We start from the raw sequence: 20743 nt of genomic DNA on the forward strand, positions 1-20743 counted from the left end.
GGGTCCTTAGTCTTGCGCCGATTTAAATAAAACGACACGGAAACACATGGAGTGGTTTTAAGGAGTGGAGAGTTTAATAGGCAAGAAAGAAGGAAGAAGCTCCCCTGTACAGAGACAGAGGGAGGGGGGATCCAAAGCTGAGAGAGGAAACCCTGAGTGCCACAGAAATAAGCCAGTTATATGAGGAGGCTAGAGAAGGCAGTATCTGATTTGCATAGGGCTCAGGGGATTGGTTTGACCAGGCATGTCATTCATGTAACCCCTGAAAAACCTGGCCCTTTCACCCTAGCATTTTAATATGCAAATGCAGGGCGCCATGATGTTCTACACAGGTGGGACTATGTGGGGGTGGCCATATTGCCAGGCAAACATGGGGACAAGGAAAAGATGGCGGGAATCCCCATGTTTGGGTGGACCCAGTTTCTAACGGTCTGCATTTGCATATCAAAGGTTGCCAGCCTGATTCTAAGAGCCGGGGCTTTCCTGCTAGACAAGAAACGTTTTTTGGAGCTGCTTTTAAAACAGAAACGAAAACTTCCCAAGGACCACTTTTCCTCTTTATCTGCCTCAAATAATTTTTTAATAATTCCTATAACACAAGGAAATGAATTCTGCCAAACAGAAGGGCCTTTGGTCTTTGGGGCACTACAGTGGGTACATGATGGCGTGTGGAACACCACGCAATGGAGGGAGACGCAGGGCACTCCTGGGAAAATCCAGGAGGGATGAGGGAAGAGGAAAGACAGTGAGGGAAAGGAGGATAAAGAACACACTTTTAAAAAATCGTTCATTATTATCTGAAATTCCAACACAACTGAACGTCCTGTATTTTTCCCTAGTCATGAGAGTGAAAAACTAAATAGAGACTGAGTTCCCCATACAAATAACTGAGAGTGATCGAGAGCTTATTCCTGGCAGGCCCCATTCGAGTGACCTCTAAGATCAATTCATTTAGATACTATGGAAGTGGAAGATACTATCTTTATCATTTTTGTCATTGAGGAAACTAAGGCACAGAGATGTCATACAACTTGCCCCAGGTCTGCCAGCAGGTAAGGGGCAGAGCCAAGATTTGAACTGTAGCCCTGTGTCTCAGAGCCTGCCCTCAAAAGGTAAGTCTCTCACCTAAAGATCCATACGGAGATGTAAGATGATCCATGTTGGTTGGCAAGACAGAAAAATCCATAAACCAAATAAATTGATTTGGTGGCAGGGGGAGATTGAATCAGAGGTGACCCTGAAAAGTGTCTGTTTATCTGGGAGCTGAACACTGAAGGTGCAATTCTCACCCATTGGAGTCCAGAGAGACCTTCCCTGGAGGACTGCAGCTCCCTCATCTGTCTTCCCCTGAGAACCCAGCCCAGAGCCATGCATGTAGTAGGTGATCATTGAGGTGAGCAAGGCCTGCAGGAGGCTGTCCCTAAGATGGAGGAGAACAAAAAACTTATTAGGGGGATGAAAGGGAGGGCAGGAAGCAGAAGTGGGCTAGGGAAGCCATTGGCCATCCAGAGTTGACATTTGTCCCCCCATGGGGAACTTGGGGGATGAATTGCCTGTTGGAAGAGCCCATGTTGGGTGGAAATGGCCAGTCCCGGAGCCCTTCATGGTGGGGAACCCTGAGAACACACTACATAAGGAAGGAGCAGGGCTGGAGACCATCAGCAGCTTGGGCCTCACAAGCATTTCACGTGTTTAATTGATCACACAGAACCCTTGCACCAAGACAATCGTTTGCTCCTAGAGGGAGCCTTTCCTTCGTTTGGAAACAATCCTTTCCCAACCCCAACAAGGCAACCTGCATCCGGTGGTGCTCAATCAATAGAAGCTGGGCAGCCCGGGTGCAGGGTCAGTGTGCCCAAAGCATTGAAATGCGGTGATTTGGGCCATGGGTCATGCTGGGTGTCCTGAGCAGGGGTAACTTCATCTACCCAGTGACGCAGGTAGCAACTCTCTGGGTCTGGTGGCACAGGAGGTAAAGGAATTTACCAAGCCAGTTGTAGGTAAAGAAAGGCAGATTTATTAGAGAAGGTATGAAAATACGTTGCAAGGTCGCAATTACAATGAGCAGAGAAGGGGCTGTCTGCAAAGAGGCAGTGGCTGAAGGGAAGTTTCATAGAGTCACGTTGAAGAGGGCTACATGCAGAACAAGCAGAACGAGGTTGTTGTGCCTGGTTGTTTGTGATTAGCTGTCTCTGAGAATAATTGATGACTTTTCTCCCCACTTGGGGCCCTCCCCAACCTGGGGCCTCTTCCTCATTGTTGCTTATTTATCAGGACTCCACCAGGGACAGAGTCACCCTACAAGTCCTAACTCAAGTGTGGGTTCTTCTTAGAACACAGCCCCTCCAGCTCCCTTGGAAATCCCCAAGTCTTCCCAAACGATGTAGGACTTTTCTTCTTGGTCACTTTGCAAGCCGGGGCCCCCAGTCAGTGATGCCTTGCCCAGGTCTCACTCGGCCACGCTATCGCGTATAACTTGTATAACTTGTACCCATGTTCAGTGGTTCCTGAGCCCTTGTACCTCGCCCAAGAAGAATGAAGATATACTGGACATTGGAGGGTGAGGAGGGCTGAGAATAATTTTATTGAGTGATGAAAATGGCTTTCCGTGGAAAGGGGATTCAGGGGTGGGAGGTGGGGTGTAGGGGGAGGTTTTGCCACGTGGCTCGGTCTGGGGCCCTTTATGGATTCAAAATGAGGAGTGTATGCTGATTGGTTTGTGAGTATGCAAAAAAGGTTAAAGTGACAACACCACTCAAAGCTGTGCACAATGGTGTAAGAAAACCAATTAGGAAAGGGTAGGGAGGTATATGTAAAATAGGTGAAGGGTGAGGACTAATCAGAGGTAAGCATGCCAAACAGAAAGACAAGTTCTCAATCCAGTCCAGTCGGATGATTTAACTTGTAGCTTGGCTTTCAGGCTTTAAACTGTCTTTGGCTTGGAGGTGGGGTTTCACGGAGGACCTGCCCCATCTGCATAGGCATTTGTCCACCTCCTGCTTCTATCACAGAGCATGTCTCAGCCTCTCTGTCCTGCCACTCAACTTTGTCCCCCTGCCTTTATTACCCATCTTGTAATTCCTGGCTCACAGCTTTGTGTTCCAACTAGACTGAGAGCTCCCTGAGCCCAGCTACTGCCAGGCTCACTTCAGGCTTCAATGCCCAGCTCAGACGCAGTGCATCTGCTAGTGTGTGTGTGTGTGTGTGTGTGTGTGTGTGTGTGTGTGTTAAAAGTGTTTCTTGCTGGCTGGTTCTGGAAATTTGTCATTCTCTGTCCTCTATCTTCCTGTTAAAAACTTCAGCTGAATTAAATTTAAAGGAGTTTAATTGAGCAATAAACAATTCGTGAATTGGGCAGCCCCCAGAATCACAGCAGATTCAGAAAGACTCCAGGGGTGCCTCATGGGCAGAACAAATTTATAGACAAAAAAAAAAGTGACATACAGAAATCAGAACTGAGGTACAGAAACAGCTGGATTGGTTACAGATTGGCGATTGCCTTATTTGAACACAGTTTGAACGCTCAGCAGCGTATGAGTTGTTGAAGTTTATCTGCTGGGATTGGCCAAAACTCAGTGATTGTTACAGACGCATACTCCTAAGTTAGGTTTTCAATCCTGTCTACCTATTAAGTTAGGTTGTAGTTCATCCACAAGGACTCAAATATGGAAGTACAGAGTCCTTCTCAGGCCATATTTAGTTTGCTTTGACATCCCCATTGAGATGACTCAACTATTCGGCTAAGGGCTGTAGACAGTGAAGAAATGTGACTAATTGCTGGATACTGTAGTATATTGAGTGTGCAAGAGCATTATATCTAAAAAACAATGTACATACTGCAATTTAAAATGCTTTGCTGCTTAAAAAAAATAATGCTAACAGTCATGTGAGCCTTCAAGTTGTCATCTTTTTGCTGCTGGGGGTTCTTGCCATGATGTTGATAGCTGCTGACTGAGCGGAGTGGTGGTTGTTGAAGGCTGGGGTTGTGTTGAAGGCTGTGGCAATTTTGTGATTGGCCACCAATGGAGTTTGCTGCATCAATGGACTCATCCTTTCATGAAATTTTTATTGGTAGCATGCAATGTTATTTGATAGCATTTCTTTCCAAATTGAAGTTAATCTTCTTAAACCCTGCTGCTGCTTTGTCAACTAAGTTGATTTAATATTCTTCATCCTTTGTTGTTATTTCAACATGTTCACAGCATCTTTACCAGGAGTAGATTCTATCTCAAGAAACCACTTTCTTTGCTCCTCTGTAAGAAGCAGCTCCTCACCTGTTCAAGTTTTATCATGAGATTGCAGCAATTCAGTCACATCTTCAGGCCGTACTTCTAATTCTAGTTTTCTTTCTATTTCCACTACATCTGCAGTTCCTTCCTCCCCTGAAGTCTTGAATCCCTCAAAGTCATCCATAAGAGTTGTAATTGACATCTTCCAAACCCTGTTAGTGTTGATGTTTTGACCTCCTTCCATGAATCGCAAATGTTCTGAATGATATCTAGAGTAGTGAACCCTTTCTAGAAGGTTTTCAATTTACTTGGCTCAGATCCATCAGAAGAATCACTGTCTATGACAGCTATAGCCTTAGGAAATGTGTTTCTTAAATAACAAGTCTTGAAAGCAGGAATTTCTCCTTGATCCAAGGGCTGCATAATAACTGTTATGTTCACAGACATGAAAACGACATTAATCTTGTGTATCTTCATCAGAGCTCTTGGGTGACCAGGTACATTGGCAATAAGCAGTAATATATTGAAAGAAATATATTTTCTGAGCATTATATCTCAACAGTGAACTTAAAATATTCCTAAACCATGCTGTAAACAGATGTGCTGTCAGCCTTTACTGATCCATTTCCAAAACACAGGCAGAGTAGATTTAGCATAATTTTTGTATTAGTCTGTTTTCATGCTGCTGATAAAGACATACCCAAGTCTGGGCAATTTACAAAAGAAAGAGGTTTAATTGGACTTGCAGTTCCACGTGGCTGGGGAAGCCTCACAATCATGGTGGAGGGCAAGGAGGAGCAAGTCCCATCTTACATGGTTGGCAGCAGGCAAAGAGAGAATGAGGAAGGCGCAAAAGCAGAAACCCCTGATAAAACCATCAGATCTTGTGAGACTTATTCACTACCAAGAGAATAGTATGGAGGAAACTGTCCCCATGATTCGATTATCTCCCACTAGGTCCCTCCCACAACACATGGGAATTATGGGAGTATAATTCAAGATGAGATTTGGGTCGGGACACAGAGCCAAACTGTATCTTTTTTTTTTTTTTTTTTTGAGATGGAGTCTCACTCTGTCACCCAGTGCCACGATCTCGGCTCACTGCAAGCTCCACCTCCTGGGTTCACCCCATTCTCCTGCCTCAGCCTCCCGAGTAGCTGGGACTACAGGTGCCCACCACCACGCCCAGCTAATGTTTTGTATTTTTAATAGAGACGGGGTTTCACCGTGTTAGCCAGGATGGTCTCGATCTCCTGAACTCGTGATCCACCTGCCTCGGCCTCCCAAAGTGCTGGGATGACAGGCGTGAGCCAACGCACCTGGCCAACTGTATCAATACTTAAGGGGCTTAGGGTTCTTTGGAATTGTAAATGAGCATTGGTTTCAATTTAAAGTTACCAGTGGCATTAGCCCCTAACGAGAGATTCTGCCTGTGCTTTGAAGCATTGCAGCTTCAAATAAAAGGCATCTTCTTCCGATAAAAAGGCTATTTTGTCTACATTGAGTATCTGTGTTTAGTGCAGCCACCTTCACTAATCATCCTAGCTGGATATTCTGGATAACTTTGTGTAGCTTCTCCATCAGCACTTGCTGCTTCACTTTGTTCTTTTATGTTACAGAGATGGTTTCTTTCCTTAAACCTCACGAACTAATCTCTGCTAGCTTCCAACTTTTCTTTTGCAGCTTCCTCACCTCTCTCAGCCTTCAGGGAATTGAGGAGCATTAAGGCCTTGCTCTGGATGAAGCTTTGGCTTAAGGGAATGTTGTGGCTGGCTTGGTCTTCTATCCAAACCACTAAAATTTCTCCATATCAGCAATAAGACTGTTTTCTTTTCTCATTCATGAGTTCACTGAAGTAGTATTTTTAAGTTCCTGCAAGAATTTTTCTTTTGTATTCATAACTTGACTATTTTCCCAAGAGGCCAAGTTTTCAGGCTATCTAGGCTTTCAGTGAAGCTTAATCATTTCTAGCTTTTGATTTAAAGTAAGAGATGTGTGCAACTCTTCCTTTTACTTGAAAGCTTAGAGGCCATTGTAGGGTTATTAACTGGCCTAATTTATTTATTGTTGGGTCTCTGGGATGAGGGAGGCTAGATTAGGTGTCTAGTTAGGGCCTGCTTCCTCATAGATGAAGGCTTCTCACTGTAGGGTGAGAGATAAGAGAACGGCCCGTCGGTGGAGCAGTCAGAGCACACAGAACATTTGTTGATTAAGTTTACTGTCTTCTATGACAGATCATGGCATCCCAAAACAATTGCAGTAATAACATCACAGATCTCAGACCACCATGACAGAGACAATAATCATGAAAAAGTTTGAAATATTGCAAGAATTACCAAAAGGTGACACAGAGATGAAACTGCCCCTATAAACTTTATGAAATGAATCAGGGAAGAAGGAAGGGGGAGAAATAAAAGTCACCCACGCTTGCAGCACATTTGGCCTCCATCATGAGGTCGGCCTGCTCTCCAGCCTGCGTCCTCACAGCTGTCTGGTGCCTGTCGTACTAAAATCACATAGACCCTGTTACAAGATCACGGTTCCCCTTAACTGCTCCGTAGATAACAACGTGAACATTATAAAATGTTTAGTTTTCCCTGTGAGATAGTCCTTCAGGTCCCATACACTGATGAAACTACCGACCCAGCTGGTCTGAAGGACCCCACAATGGGCTGACTCACCAAAGAATGCAGTTTCCATATCGTGATGATTTCATCCCCCCTTCCCCCCGACCAATCAACAACCCCAATTTTCCAATTATGGAGGGAGTCTCTCACCCTCTATAATCCCCTTAAAAACCCCAGACCAAAGCTCCTTGGTGAGATAAACGGGAGGGCCTCCTCCCATCTCGTCACTCAGCACTCTGCAATCATTAAACTTTCTCTGCTGCAAACCCTGCTGTCACTATGTAATGGGTCTGTTACTGCACAGTGGGCATATGAACCCATTGGTCCTATAACAGAGGCATGAAGTGAGCACATGCTGTTGGAAAAATGGTGATGGTAGACTTGCCAAAAGCATGGCTGCCACAAACATTCAATTTGTATAAAACACGGTATCTGCAAAGCACAATAAAACAAAGTGCAATAAGATGAGGTGTGGCTGTATATTCAAATTAAAATGAGATGTAGTTCTTTTACTCACCACATTGGTAAATATTACTGGGAAAATAACTGATAATATCCAGAGTGGGAAGTGTGTGGGGGTACAGGTACTCTTGTACTATAAAATACAAGTCTATTTTTTTAATAGACTTTACTTTTTAGAACAGTTTTAAGTTCTCAGCAAAATTGAGTGGGCGGTTCAGAATGCCCATATAATCCCTGCCCCACACATGCACAGCCTCCCCAACGATCAACAGCCCACACTACAATCGTCTTAGCCCACTGGGCAGCTATAACCAAAACAACATAGACCAGTGGCTTATAAACAAAAGAATTTATTTCTCACAGTTCTGGAGGCTGGGAAGTTCAAGATCAACATGCTGGCAGATTTGGTGTCTGGTTAGGGCCTGCTTCCTCATAGGTGAGGCTTTCTCACTGTAACCTCATATGGCCGAAGGGGCGAGGGAGTCTCTCAGGTCTCTTTTATAAAAGCACTGATCTCATTCCTAAGGCCTCTGCCCTCATGAACTAATCACCTCCAAAAGGCCCATCTCCTAATCCATCACCTTGTGGGGTAGGATTTCAACACAGATTATTTTGTAATTCATAGACGTGATGATTGGGTGTTCCTATGCATGTGTGAGATGTGCCACCTTCAAACCTTGTTACTGTAAGAGTTAAAGAAAGAGGAAAGAAGCCAGAAAAGGGGCTCAACAGTCAAAAACAGGTTTATTTTGGAGAATAAACCTGAAAGGGGCTTCTGGCCAATTTCAGTCAGGAGGATTCTCTATTGCAACTATCAACAGCCTGCACTACAATCGTCTTAGCCCATTGGGCTGCTATAACCAAAATAACATAGACCGGTGGCTCATAAACAACAAGAGTATATATTGGTTTTAGAGTGAGAGAGCTTTATCACAGGCTTGGAATGTTTCTGTGTGGGGGAGAAGTTTATGGTGGGGTTGGAATGTCTCTGGCAGAAGGGGAGGTTATGTTGGGGCTGACATCTCTCTGCCGGGGGGGAAGTTATCTCCGGGCTGGCTTGTCTCTGGTCAGGGAGGGATTTATCTTATGGTTGAAATGTTTCTGGTCGGAGATGTCATTTGTGGCTTATGGTCATGCTGACCTTAGTCATTAGGCTGATGACCTTTGGATTTAGGCAATTTTTGATCAAGGGGAACTTTAGAATGGCAGTGCTTGTCCAAGATGGTGATGCTTCTGCTCTGTCAGCTACCATGTGGGCATATTACCTATCTGACATGAACTTAGAAAAAAAGAAACTAAAAAAAAAAGCAAAAAGGATTTCAACGCACTAATTTGAAGGGATATAAACATTCAATCCATGGCAACAGTGGTACATTTGTTACAACTGATAAACCTATGTTGATACATAATTATCACTCAAGGGCTATAGTTTACATGAATACATCTTGACAGGTATCCAGCATTATAACATGGCACAGAATAGTTTCACTGCCCTAAAAACCCTCTGTGCTCCACTTTTTCTTCCCTCCCTCACTCTACCCTCTGGCAACCACTGATCCTTTTTCTCTCTCCATAGTTTTGCCTTTTCCAGAATGTCATGCAGTTGAAATCATACAGTATGTAGCCTATTCAGAGTCACTGTTTTCATTTAGTAATATCCAGCTAAGTTTCCTCCGTGTCCTTTCATGGCTGATAGCTCATTTCTTTTCAGTGCTACATAGTATTCCATTGTCTGGGTGTATCATAATTTATTTATCCATTCTCCTACTGAAGGACATCTTTTTTGCTTCCAAGTTTTGTCGGTTAAGGTTGCTATAAGCATCTATGTGCAGGTTTTTATGTGGATATGTTTTCAACTCATGGGAGTAAATACCAAGGAGTACAATTGCTGATCATATGGTTAGAGTATGTTTACTTTTATAAGAAACTGCAAAATTGTCTTCCAAGGTGGCTGTACCATTTTGCATCCCCATCAGCAATGAATGAGAGTTCTTGCTGCTCCACACCCTGACCAGCATTTGGTGCTGTCCGTGTTCTGGATTTTGGCCATTCTAACCGGTGTGTAGCGGTATCTTTTTGTCGTTTTAATTTGCAATTCCCTAATGATGCATGATGCTGAGCACCTTTTCATACGCTCTTTTCACATCTGTATGTCTTCTTTGATGAAGTGTCTACTCTGGTCTTTAATTGGGTTGTTCATTTTCTCATTGTTTTTTTTTTTTTAATTTTGTTGTAGAGATAGGGTCTCGACTCAGGTGATCCTCCTATCTCAGCCTCCCAAAGTGCTGGGATTACAGGCATGAGCCACCACACCCGGCCCTTATTGTTGAGTTTTAAGAATTCTTTGAATAATTTGGGTAACAGTCCTTTATCCGAAAGTTATGTCTTTTGCAAACATGTTCTCCCACTCTTTGTCTTGACTTCTCATTCTCTTGATCATTTTAGTGGGAAGTTGTTTCTTGGACAATATCTAGCAAAATGAAAAACGTACACCTTTTGACTTTACTATTATGCTTCTAGAAATACTTGGACCCATACCCAAAACTATAGGTACATAAATATTTGTTGCAACATTGTTTCCTTCTAGAAATAGAAACCACAGGAGGGCGGTTCACACAGGGGACCAGGCCCCAGCCAAGGCCCCCTGTCCCTCACCATGCTGGGTCAGAGTGACAGTGAGCCAGGTGCCCAGAGGCCCGTCTGGCTGGAATGAGAAGTAGTCAATGTCACTGATGACAAAACTCTGGTAGGGAATGACACATCTCCTGGGCACACAGTGGGGACAGGGGCAGGCTGACCAGAGCATGTCATCGCTGAGGTAGCAGGACATGGGCTCCGGAGGGTCTCTGCTGGGAGAGGACACAGCTTAGCCCACTGTGCATGGGGATCACTCACTCTGCAAAGGTTCATTGAGTGCTCACCGCTCACTGAAGAAGCCTCCGGGTCTTGGATCGGGATTGGATCTCACTGCTAGTGAGTGGGAAACAGTCATGAGCAAAGGCGTTGCAGATTTTGATGAATGCTTTGAAAGGATTCCTGAGGGTCCTCGGTTGTGAACAGACTGAGGTGGGAATGTGGCAATGTTGCAAGCAGGGAACCCTGTTAGGAAGCTTCTGGAATATCCAGGGGACAGGAAGTGGTGTGCACCAGGGCAGTGGGGCTGTTGTGGGTGAATTTGCGTTCTGCTTGAGATAAGGTTAGCGGCATTCTTTGGTGGATCGGATGCTGCAGTCGGAAAGGAATGGTGGCAAAAGAGACTTAAAAACAAAACAAAATCCTCCCTGTTGTTTAGTTTGAGCCACTAGGAGCTCCCATTTAGCAAAGGGAGATGGGGAAGACAGAGGCAGCAGAGCCACTCGGGTGAGAGGGGGACTTTGGTTGAGGACCTTTGTAGTCGGAGATGCCTGTTGTCTAAGTGACAGGTGGAGACGCCAGTGCGCCTGGAGGGCTGGAGCTTAGGGGAAGTGTGGGCTCAAGGTCGCCTTTGGGAGATGCCCTCATGGCTGGAGGTGGTCTCTGCAGAGTGGATACAGCAGAGAGGAGGTCCATGGACTGGGCCTGGGGCGTTTCACCCTTGGCAGCCGAGAGAACAAAGAGGCAGCAGACAAGGAGAAAGAGGAGGATGGGCAGGGCCCTGGGGGTGCTGGGTGAGCTGTGGGCAGAGTCAGGTGCAGGAGGAACTGCAGGGAGGCCGCGGTGGTCCTCCTTGTCAGGGGCTGCCCCTGGTCAAGTAGGAAGAAGGCGGAGGCCCAACCATGAGATTCTGCTCCTGGGATGTTTGCTGACTTGAACCAGAGCAGTTTGGGTGGCCTGATGGGGGCAACATCCTGGGGAAGTGGGCTCAGGAAGAAATGGCTGGAAAGACACTGGACATGATGAGCGTGGACAACTCTTTATGGGGTTGCTGCTGTCAAGGGAAGCAGAGAAAGGGGGACCGCAGGGTTGTGAGCTCAGGAGATGCCCAGGCGCTGCACTCCTGTGGGCATCTGTGAGGGGGTTGGGGCAGGTTTGCAAGGCGATTGGGAAAGATCCTGGGAGAGGGCACGGTGGGTGACACAGGGAAGAGTGGGGACTTGGGGGCCGTGATGTTCCTGAGCAACAGGGCCAGACTGCATCGGGTCTCTAGCCTTAGACAGGAGCCCCAGCCCAGAACCAGGCCCAGGCCCAGGCCCCAGTGGTGGGCAGAGGGGGTGGGGAGTGTGAGTGTGGGGTGGGTGGGGAGCTTCTCCCTGGTCCCCTGTTATGTCAGAGCAACAGGAAGCAGATCACAGGGAGGGGCAGGATGGTATTTGAGGAGAATGGAGAAGGTCTGATGGAGCTCCCCAGGAGAACTGAAGGTGGTGGAGGGGTGGGGGGTGGCAGAGCTGGGGCCCCCTCCCCCTCTAGGTGGGGAGACCTCCAATCAGTTGTCACCTGCCTCTCTGGTTCCAGTGGCTTAATTATTTCATTTAAGGCTGATTCAGACCCTGGCCAACACCGCAGAGCAATGCCGGTCCCCTTCCTGTGTGGTTCGTGCCCAGGAGAGCTCGGGTGGGAGAGGTGGCAGCCCACATGCAGAGGAGGAGCCTGGGAGAGCATGGAGCCCCCTCCCAAACACGTCCACACGGCCTGTTCTGCCACTCCCCATCTGTGGCCAGGGCTGGCGCCTCACCTCCAGGGCCTCAGTTTCCCCATCTGTGAACTGGGCGTCGTGGCCTGGCCCTGCCCACCTCGCAGTGAGGAGGAACTAAGATAGGTCATGTGGGGCAACTGTGTTAAATTGTGACAAAATAAGAGAAGATTGTCACCATTGTTACCAGCACCATCCTCAACGACATCAGTGTAGAACGTGCTCCCCAGAAACCCCAGATCAGACAGTAGTGCCTGGCAGGTGCCTGGCTGAGCAGGAGCTCCCGGGAGGGCCTCCGTCCTCCTCTGTCCTCTGTCTACTCCCACCCCGAGGCTGACCTGACACATCCCTCTCTACACCACCATCCCACGCCAGGCAGAGGGGACACCGTAGCCCCTACCCGTGGCCCCTGCACCCAACGTCACAGACTCATTCACCCGGCGAATGAGGGTCACGTTGACGAGCCGCTGGGCATCCTGGGTGTCTGCCCACCCGCAGGTGATGTGGCTGGTATAGTCACTGTAGCAGCGCAGGGTCTGCAGCAGGACGGTTTCTGACAAGAGGGGCAGGAAGGGGTCACCTCTCTCCCCTGCAGGGTCCCTTATCACCACCACCCCCAGCTGATCTGGGGCAGAGGTGCCCTGGGTTGGGAAGGGGGTCTGCCAGGGTGAGCTTCTGCCTGTGGACCCTCCTCTCCTGACAGAAGCACCGTGCAATCCCTGCAGAATGGAGACACGCAGCAGCGACAGGCCCTGCCCCCCAGACCCCCAGGCATCAACCCAGCCTTGAGATGAACCCCAAGCCAGGACGCTGCTGGAGCAAAGGTCTGGAGGTGGAACCACTGAGGTGCAGCGAGTGTCTGCTGGGGAAGGAGGAGAAGGGAAACGGTCAGAGCAGCCACCCTGGAGCCTGGGGGCCTGGAGTGCCGTGCTGAGAAATATGGGCTGGGAACCCAGACACACTCAGCTGGACTTTCCAGGACAGGATGAGCAGGAATGTGCAGGAGGAGGGAAGTGAAGGAAGCCCAGGGAAGGCCGGGGAAGAGACGAAGCAAGGGGAGCAGGAGGAGGGTGGGTGGGCAGGGTCCTGGGGGTATGGTGCGGGCCTCCTCCAGGGTGCAGCAGTGAGGAGGGGGCAGGGAAGGGGTGGGAGCCACGGAACTCACCTTCTGCCCCTGCCAGGCTAAGTCCCCAGCACAGGGCCAGCAGGGCCATGAGGAGCAGCTCCCAGGCCAGCACCATTTTCCTGGTCAGCTCTGGACAGGCAGGTGCTGGCACAGGTGGATGCTGGCCATGGGCTGGGGTGGGGTCTTCCATGCCCTGGAGTCCTGTGTTCCTGCCCAGCTGGGAGCCAGGCCAAGCTGATCTCACCAGGTCTTGTTATTCCTCCATCCATGAATTGCCATCCTACCCCAGGTCTTGAGAAAGGAGATGTGGGCCAGGATAAGGCCCATCCACCCCTCTCGTCTTCCCAGGGATATGGCCGATGAGGAGGGAGAAGGCCATGTTGGGGGTACGGGGAGCCTGGTCCTGCGCCTTCTCCACCTAGTGTGGATCTCCTCCTCTGCCACTCTCACCCTTCCCCGCAGTGCTGGTGTAGATTCTGTGTGTTTGTATTGGGTGCTACTGGGTTGATGCCCAAGTGGGCTGCGTTAAGCTCTTCAAGTGATTTTGGCAGATAAGCTTTGTGGATCCACCCACCACAGATGGAGCCTGTCTCCTCCCAGGTCTTGAGGATGCACAGACTCCCTTTGGGCCACCTCACTCAACACCAAACACTCCACCATCCTTCCTCACCTGCCCCAAGCTGTTACTGCCCATCCCTTCTTCTCTGCAGGAGCCTGAGGCATTTCTTAGTTTCTTGCCCTTTGTGATGTCAGAAGAAAAGACAGAGGTCTTCTTTTCTTCTTTCTCAACACTTCTGAAACCATGAAACACGCAAGCCTCCACCCACTCACACACCCACATACACACCTACACATACCTGCACACACATGCTCAGACAACCCTGATGGGACCTGACCACCCTACGAGGGCGCTGACAAGACCTTGAGGATGCTGGGAACGAGCCAGGAAGGAGGACAGGATAGGAATGGAGTTCCTGAGGAGGCAGCAGGGCTTCTCGGTACAGAAAATGGTGAACTCTCAGTCTTCCTGCCCTGGCCATGCTCAGCTGAACAAAACCACACCAGCTGGTCTCACTTAAATTCAGGATTACCATCGGAGGCGGGGGTTGTGGGGAGGCTCTTAACGCTGCCAGAACCCCAAATGACACTTCCCAGCAGCAAGGAGGAACTCTGCCCTTCCCAAGAAGCTATTTCACACCTCTCCACTTCCGTCACACCTCTACTTCCCCTGCACCCCATTCCCATGCCCCACTTCCCCTGCACCCCATTCCCATCCCCCACTTCCCCTGCACCCCATTCCTACACCCCACTTCCACTGGACCCCATTCCCACAGCCCACTTCCCCTGCACCCCATTCCCATGCCCCACTTCCACCTTAAGGACTCACGTATACCCAGGCACTATACAAACACACACACCCACAACCACATGCACAGACGCCAATGCAGGCACCCCTGACTTGCATCAAAGTCAACACCCAAATGGGCCAAATGGCTCCAAGTGGAGGAGGAGGGGCAAAAGACAGGCATGGGCAGAGGGAGAAGAGGCTTCTGCTTCTGGCCATAATGGAGTAACTAGGACCAGGTATAGCCTTCTACTTTAGAAGTATAAAACTGGACAAACGATATTAAAAATCTGTTTTCAGCTGTTAGAAAAGAGGAGTCCTTCTATATGATCGCTCAGAGAGTGAAAACAAACACGGTAGGTCCTATGATCATCCTACCTTTCTTTTCTTTTTCTTTTTTTTTTTTTTTTTCTGAGAGGGAGTTTCGCTCTTGTTGTCCAGGCTGGAGTGCAGCGGCGTGATCTCGGCTCACCGCAACCTCCGCCTCCCGGGTTCAAGTGATTCTCCAGCCTCAGCTTCCCGAGTAACTGGAATTACAGGCACTCGCCACCACACCCAACTAATTTTGTATTTTTAGTTGAGACGGGGGTTTCTTCATGTTGGTCAGGCTAGTCATGAACTCCTGACCTCAGGTGATCCTCCCACCTCGGCCTCCCAAAGTGCTGGAATTACAAGCATAAACCACCGTGCCTACCTTTTTCTACCTTTCTACCACTTTCTTGACTGTGACGTAGGTAAAAGAACTCCAACATGACCATGGCAGTCTTGCTGTGTTGGGCGATAGGGGTCTGAGTCTGAAGAGGCAAAAGAAGCTGGAATTTGGTGTAGAAAACAAGAGAAGAAAGAGCTGCACAGAGAAAGAGACCCAGCAAATCTACACAGAGATCCTCTTGCATGTACTGCTGCACACTAAACCATGCATGTGTGGGGTGGAGCTCCACTAGACTGTGTAAATAGTACACAGAGAGATGTATCTGAACAATTTCCAGAACTCACCAAGGTCTGGGAGATGTTCAAGTTCCAACAAGCCAGAATAGGAATTCTTACTGAACACCTCACACATTCAGTAGAGAACCAAGAAGAAAAACACCTTAGTGCCAGCACTAAACCAGCCCAGGAGAGGGCCATTCTAAAACTGCTCTAGGCCAGCATGGTGGCTCATGCCTGTAATCCCAGCACTTTGAGAGGTCAAGGCGGGTGGATCACTTGAGGTCAGGAGTTCGAGACCAGCCTGGCCAACGTGGTGAAACCCCATCTCTACTAAAAATACAAAAATTAGCTAGGCGTGGTGGCAGGTGCCTCTAATCCCAGCTATTTGGGAGACTGAGGCAGGAGAATTGCATGAATCCAGGAGGCGGAGATTGCAGTAAGCAGAGATTGCACCACTGCGCTCCAGCCTGGGCAACAAAGTAAGACTCCATCTCAATAATAATAATAATAATAATAATAATAATAATAATAATAAAAGTCCTCTAAGGAAGCTTAAAAACAAACCTTAAAAGATCAAACTGATTGATATGGTTTGGATTTTTGTCCCCATCCAAATCTCATGTTGAAATGTAATCCCCGATGTTGGGGGTGGGGCCTGGTGGAGGTGTTTGGATCATGGTTGGGGGATCCCTCGTGAATGGCTTGGGCCATCCCCTTGGGGATGAGTGAGCTCTCACTCTGAGTTCACAGGAGATCTGGTCATTTAAAAGTGTGTGGTACCTACCCCTACGCTGATCTCTCTCTCTCTTTCTCTCGTTCCTGCTTTCATTGTGACGTGCCTGCTCTCCCTTCACCTTCTGCCACAATTGGAAGCTTCCTGAGGCCTCCCCAAAAGCTGAGCAGATGCCAGCACCATGCTTCCTGTACAGCCTGCAGAACTGTGAGCCAATTAAACCTCTTTTCTTTATAAATTACCTGGTCCTGGGTGTTTCTTTATGACAGCATGAAAATGACCTAATACAGAAAATTGGCACTGAGAGTAGGATATTTTCCATATTAGGTCATTCTCATATTGCTGTAAATCAATGAATGCCTTAGACTGGGTAATTTATAAAGAAAAGAGGTTTAATTAGCTTACAGCTCTGCAGGCTGTACAGGAAGCATGGCACCGGCATCTGCTTCGTTTCTTGGGGAGGCCTCAGGAAGCTTACAATCATGGCAGAAGGTGAAGAGAGAAGGCACGTCACACAGTGAAAGCTGGTACAAGTGAGAGAGAGAGAGAGAGAGAGAGAGAGAGAGCACTAGTGCAGAGGCAGCTGCCACACACATTTATTTTAGTTTTTTTTTATGTTTTTATTATTATTTTTGAGACGGAGTCTCGCTCTGTTGCCAGGTTGGAGTGCAGTGGCACGATCTCAGCTCACTGCAACATCCACCTCCCTGGTTCAAGCTATTCTCCTGCCTCAGCCTCCCAAGTAGCTGGGATTACAGGCGCACACCACCACACCTGGCTAATATTTCTATTTTCAGTAGAGACGGGGTTTCACCATGTTGGCCAGGCTGGTCTCAAACTCCTAGCCTCAGATGATCTGCCTGCCTCCGCCTCCCAAAGTGCTGGGATTACAGGCATGAGCCACCATGCCTGGCTGGTGCCACACTCTTTTAAATGACTGGATCTCCTGTGAACTCAGAGCAAGAGCTCACTCATCACCAAGGGGATGGTCCAAGCCATTCAGGAGGTATCCCCCCGACCATGATCCAAACACCTCCCACCAGGCCCCACCTCCAAGATTGGGGATTACATTTCAATATGAGACTTGGGTGGGGACAAATATCCAAACTATGTCACTGATCTGCAAGTAACTTAATGACTCATCAGAATAAAGTCCAACACTTTTTGAAGAAAGACAATACAATGCAGCAGTCACCAACATAAAATAAACAATGCTCAGCATCCAATCAAAAATTACCAGATGTAGGCCAGGTGCAATGGCTCACACCTGTAATCCCAGCACTTTGGAAGGCCGAGGCGGGAGGATTGCTTGAGCCCAGGAGTCTGAGACCAGCCTGCACAACATGGTGAGACCTTGTCTCTGCAAAAAATAAAATAAAATTTAAAATTAGCTAGGCATGGTGGTGTGCACCTGTAGTCCCAGCAACTCGGGAGGCTGAGGTGGGAGGATCACTTGGGCCTGGCAGGTGGAGGTTGCAGTGAGCTGAAATCGTGCCCCTGCACTCCAACCTGGATGACAGTGAGACCCCATCTAAAAAAAAAAAAAAAATTACTACATGTAGAAAGAAGGAAGAAAATGTAACTCATAACAAGAGAAAAATCCGTCAAAGATAGAACCCCAAAATGATGCAGCTCATTATGGAACTGGCAGACAAGGACTTTGAAACAGTTATTATGAATAGGCCGAATAATTTTTCAAAAACATGAACATAACAGAAGTGGAAGATGTCAAAATAAAAACAAATAAAACTGCCACAGATAAAAGTACAACATATGAAAAGAAAATGTCATTGAATTGGCTTAATATTAGTGAATTTGAAAATATAGTAATTGAAATTATCTAAATTAAACACAGAATAAATCTGAAAAATATTACTATAAACTCCCATTCATCATTCAAGCCTCAGCTAACGCAGGGCCTCCTCCATGCAGCCTTCCCTGACTCCTCATGGGGATACAGATGGGAGTGGCTCCAATAACCACAGCTGGTGTGAGCCCAGAGCCAGACAGACCCGGGTTGGACTCCCACCTCTAGTATTGCTAAGAGTGAGACCTTGTGCAAATTATCTGCATGTTACTTCTCCAAGCCCCAAAACTGTCATCTGTTACTTGGAGATGGTCATCTACAAACCTCAAAATGATTTTGAAGGAACCAAGTGAAATAATGCCTGTCACATGGAAACCGATGATCGGAGTTAGCTAAATCACTTGTATTTTCCTTGGTTCCTATTTTGCCCTGTCCCTTCTTCCCATACAGTCCTGGAGTGCTCAGTGTTCATGCCCACCCCCAACCCCCCACAAACACACCTGATTCATATCTCTCTCCCTGGTTATTTGCACATGTCCTGGCACAGAGTTAGCACTTGAAATTGTGTGTTGGAAAATTTGGGTATTGGAAGGTATTGGAATGAATGCATGGATGGATGGATGGATGAGTGGGTGGGTGGATGGATGGATGGAGGGATGGATGGATGGATGAGTGGGTGGATGGATGGGTGGATGGATGGATGGATGGATGGATGGATGGATGGATGGATGAGTGGATGGATGGATGGATAGATGAGCAACTTCTTGAGGATAGAAGCTCCAGAGCCTATGCTTTTCTACTTTGCATCTCTGGTTCTATCCAGCCAGGTATGAGGCTGTGCACACAGACTGAGGAAACTCACTTGGTGACATAAAGACTGGGTGCCCTGTGTAAGCCACAGAGATGGGCACATTGAGTCCTGATGTTTAGAATTCAGAGATTGGTGTCTACCTTTTCTTCCTGTCTTTTTCCTGTGTTGGGGAGAAGGTCAGGGAGGAGGAGAGGGAATGGTGGGAACCACTGACATTCTGCCTTGATGATTCTTGAATTACTGCCTGCCAGGAAGGGGACCTGGCTGGGAACAGTGTAGGATGCCCTTCCCTGGTGGGGAAAGTCTTTCCTGGAGTGGAGGATTGGAGGGTGTTCAGGGAATGCCTGGGGCGCCCTGGGGACCCTGAGCTCTCTTTGGCACCCCTGCATGTGTGTGAAATCACGGTGCTGGCATGGAGAGGGTACTCAGGGGACATAAAGGGTCTGAGCTAATGTCCTGTCCCCAGCATTCTTTCTGTCTTGGATGGTCCCACTTGGCTTCCTTGAACCCCTTCACCACACTGGGAATGCAGAGAGGCACCAGACCCACGGCTGGCCAGGAGGAGCTCAGTCTGAGATGTGCACAGAGTGGAAGTAGGAGGATGCTTCTCAGAGGATTGCTGGTGCTGGACTCATCCTTCGTGCCCTCCTCCCACAGCCATGCCCTGAAACATTAGGACCTGGGAAAACTGACCCGGCACAGGGTCTGCGGGGGATTTCTGCTGCCTGGAGCTCAGGAAGCTGCATCTTATTGCCGCAAGGAAATGTCTACCCTCACCACCCACCAAGAGAGTGCAGAGAGACTCACACTGCTGGTCCCTTCCCTCGGTGAGGAAGATGCCTCTCAGCCTCCCAGCTCCCTGAGTGGCAAGAGCTCAGTACCCCCGGCCAGGCTGCAATGTGTGTGCAATGCAGAAATGTATGTGGTATGTGGAAAGTAGAACACAGGAAAATATCAAAGCCAAAGCTTCTTACAGACAGTGGTAACTGCAAATTCTAAAGTATCTTTTTATAAAAACATTAAACAATAAAATACTTTAAAACTAAACAATGATCAATGAGCCTTGTGGAGGTCCTGGGTCCAGCTATGAAAATTGACCAGAAGGGTAAATTTCCTGTAACTCAGTTATGGAAGGTGGTGTCAGGATAAGCAATATCCTGTAATGATTGATTGTGTAGCTGGAACCACCCTGTCTGAGTTTAAATCTCAGCTCTGCCCCCTTGCAAGCTGTGTGGCCTTGGGCAAGTTACTTAACCTCTCTGACCCCCAGTTTTCTGATCTGTGCAACGGAGATTATAGTAGCCCCTCACTCTCAGGATTATTATATGGATTTTTAGTAGATATGTATGATGCACTTGGACAGATCACAGCATGTAAGTGTTCTGTCTACATGAGTTAGTTTATCATTGAAGGTGCTCGTGGGCATCCCAGGTGTTATTGGGGGCCCCATTTGTCAATCCCTGGACAGCAGTGTCCCTTTGGCCTGGGCCCCAGTCATGCATCCTCATTTCATTCGTGTGCCAAGGCTACCTGCTCCCAGAATTGTTCCAAGCCTGTCCTGAGAGGAGAGGCTTCCTGGACTGTATGTCCTTAAAAAACTCTATGGGGCAATGGAGTGGAATCTATTCTCTCTTTGGAAGGGGTGAATCTCTAACCCACCCTCATTCTCATTCCACTTGCCTTGCTGGTTTTCTAAGCTGATGCCAGTTTCTTTCTGATAAACTCCAAGTCCTGGTTTCCAGACAGATTCCTGGAGAACCTCCCAGAGGCTGAGATGGTGATAGAATAGAAAACCTCTTTTGTGGAATATGCAACATCAGGAAGGGAACTGAACATAAAGGGGAATTAAAGGAGTGTGTGCTTGAACATTTGGGCTTCAGATAGAGACACAGCCATTTTCTGTAGGAAAGTTACCTTGGAGATCTTCTCATACTTGGGCAGGCGCGTGTGGAGGGTGAGTTCAGGCTGAAAAATAGAATGATGAGATTTAGGTGGATTCACAGATAATGAGCTCACAATAGAAATGTTGAGCCCCAAAAAGGATGATTGGAAACAGGACCTTAG

The 20743-nt window shown here is 47.9% G+C and overlaps 1 long non-coding RNA gene and 2 pseudogenes across 1 annotated transcript; 1 reads left to right on the top strand and 2 right to left on the bottom strand.

The window, feature by feature from the left end:
- LOC124900478 (uncharacterized) lies at positions 7690-14105 on the bottom strand. The gene is made up of 3 exons (XR_007068091.1): positions 13093-14105; positions 10240-10543; positions 7690-9788 (listed from the first exon to the last, which is right to left on the bottom strand). It is a non-coding gene; the product is annotated as an uncharacterized LOC124900478 (long non-coding RNA).
- LOC124905162 (uncharacterized) lies at positions 7925-8006 on the top strand (annotated as a pseudogene).
- Positions 9975-13169, bottom strand: CSF2RBP1 (CSF2RB pseudogene 1; annotated as a pseudogene).
- Positions 14106-20743: the final 6638 nt, after the last annotated feature.

This window comes from Homo sapiens, chromosome 22, assembly GCF_000001405.40.
Source record: "Homo sapiens chromosome 22, GRCh38.p14 Primary Assembly".
NCBI classification, from domain to species: domain Eukaryota; kingdom Metazoa; phylum Chordata; class Mammalia; order Primates; family Hominidae; genus Homo; species Homo sapiens.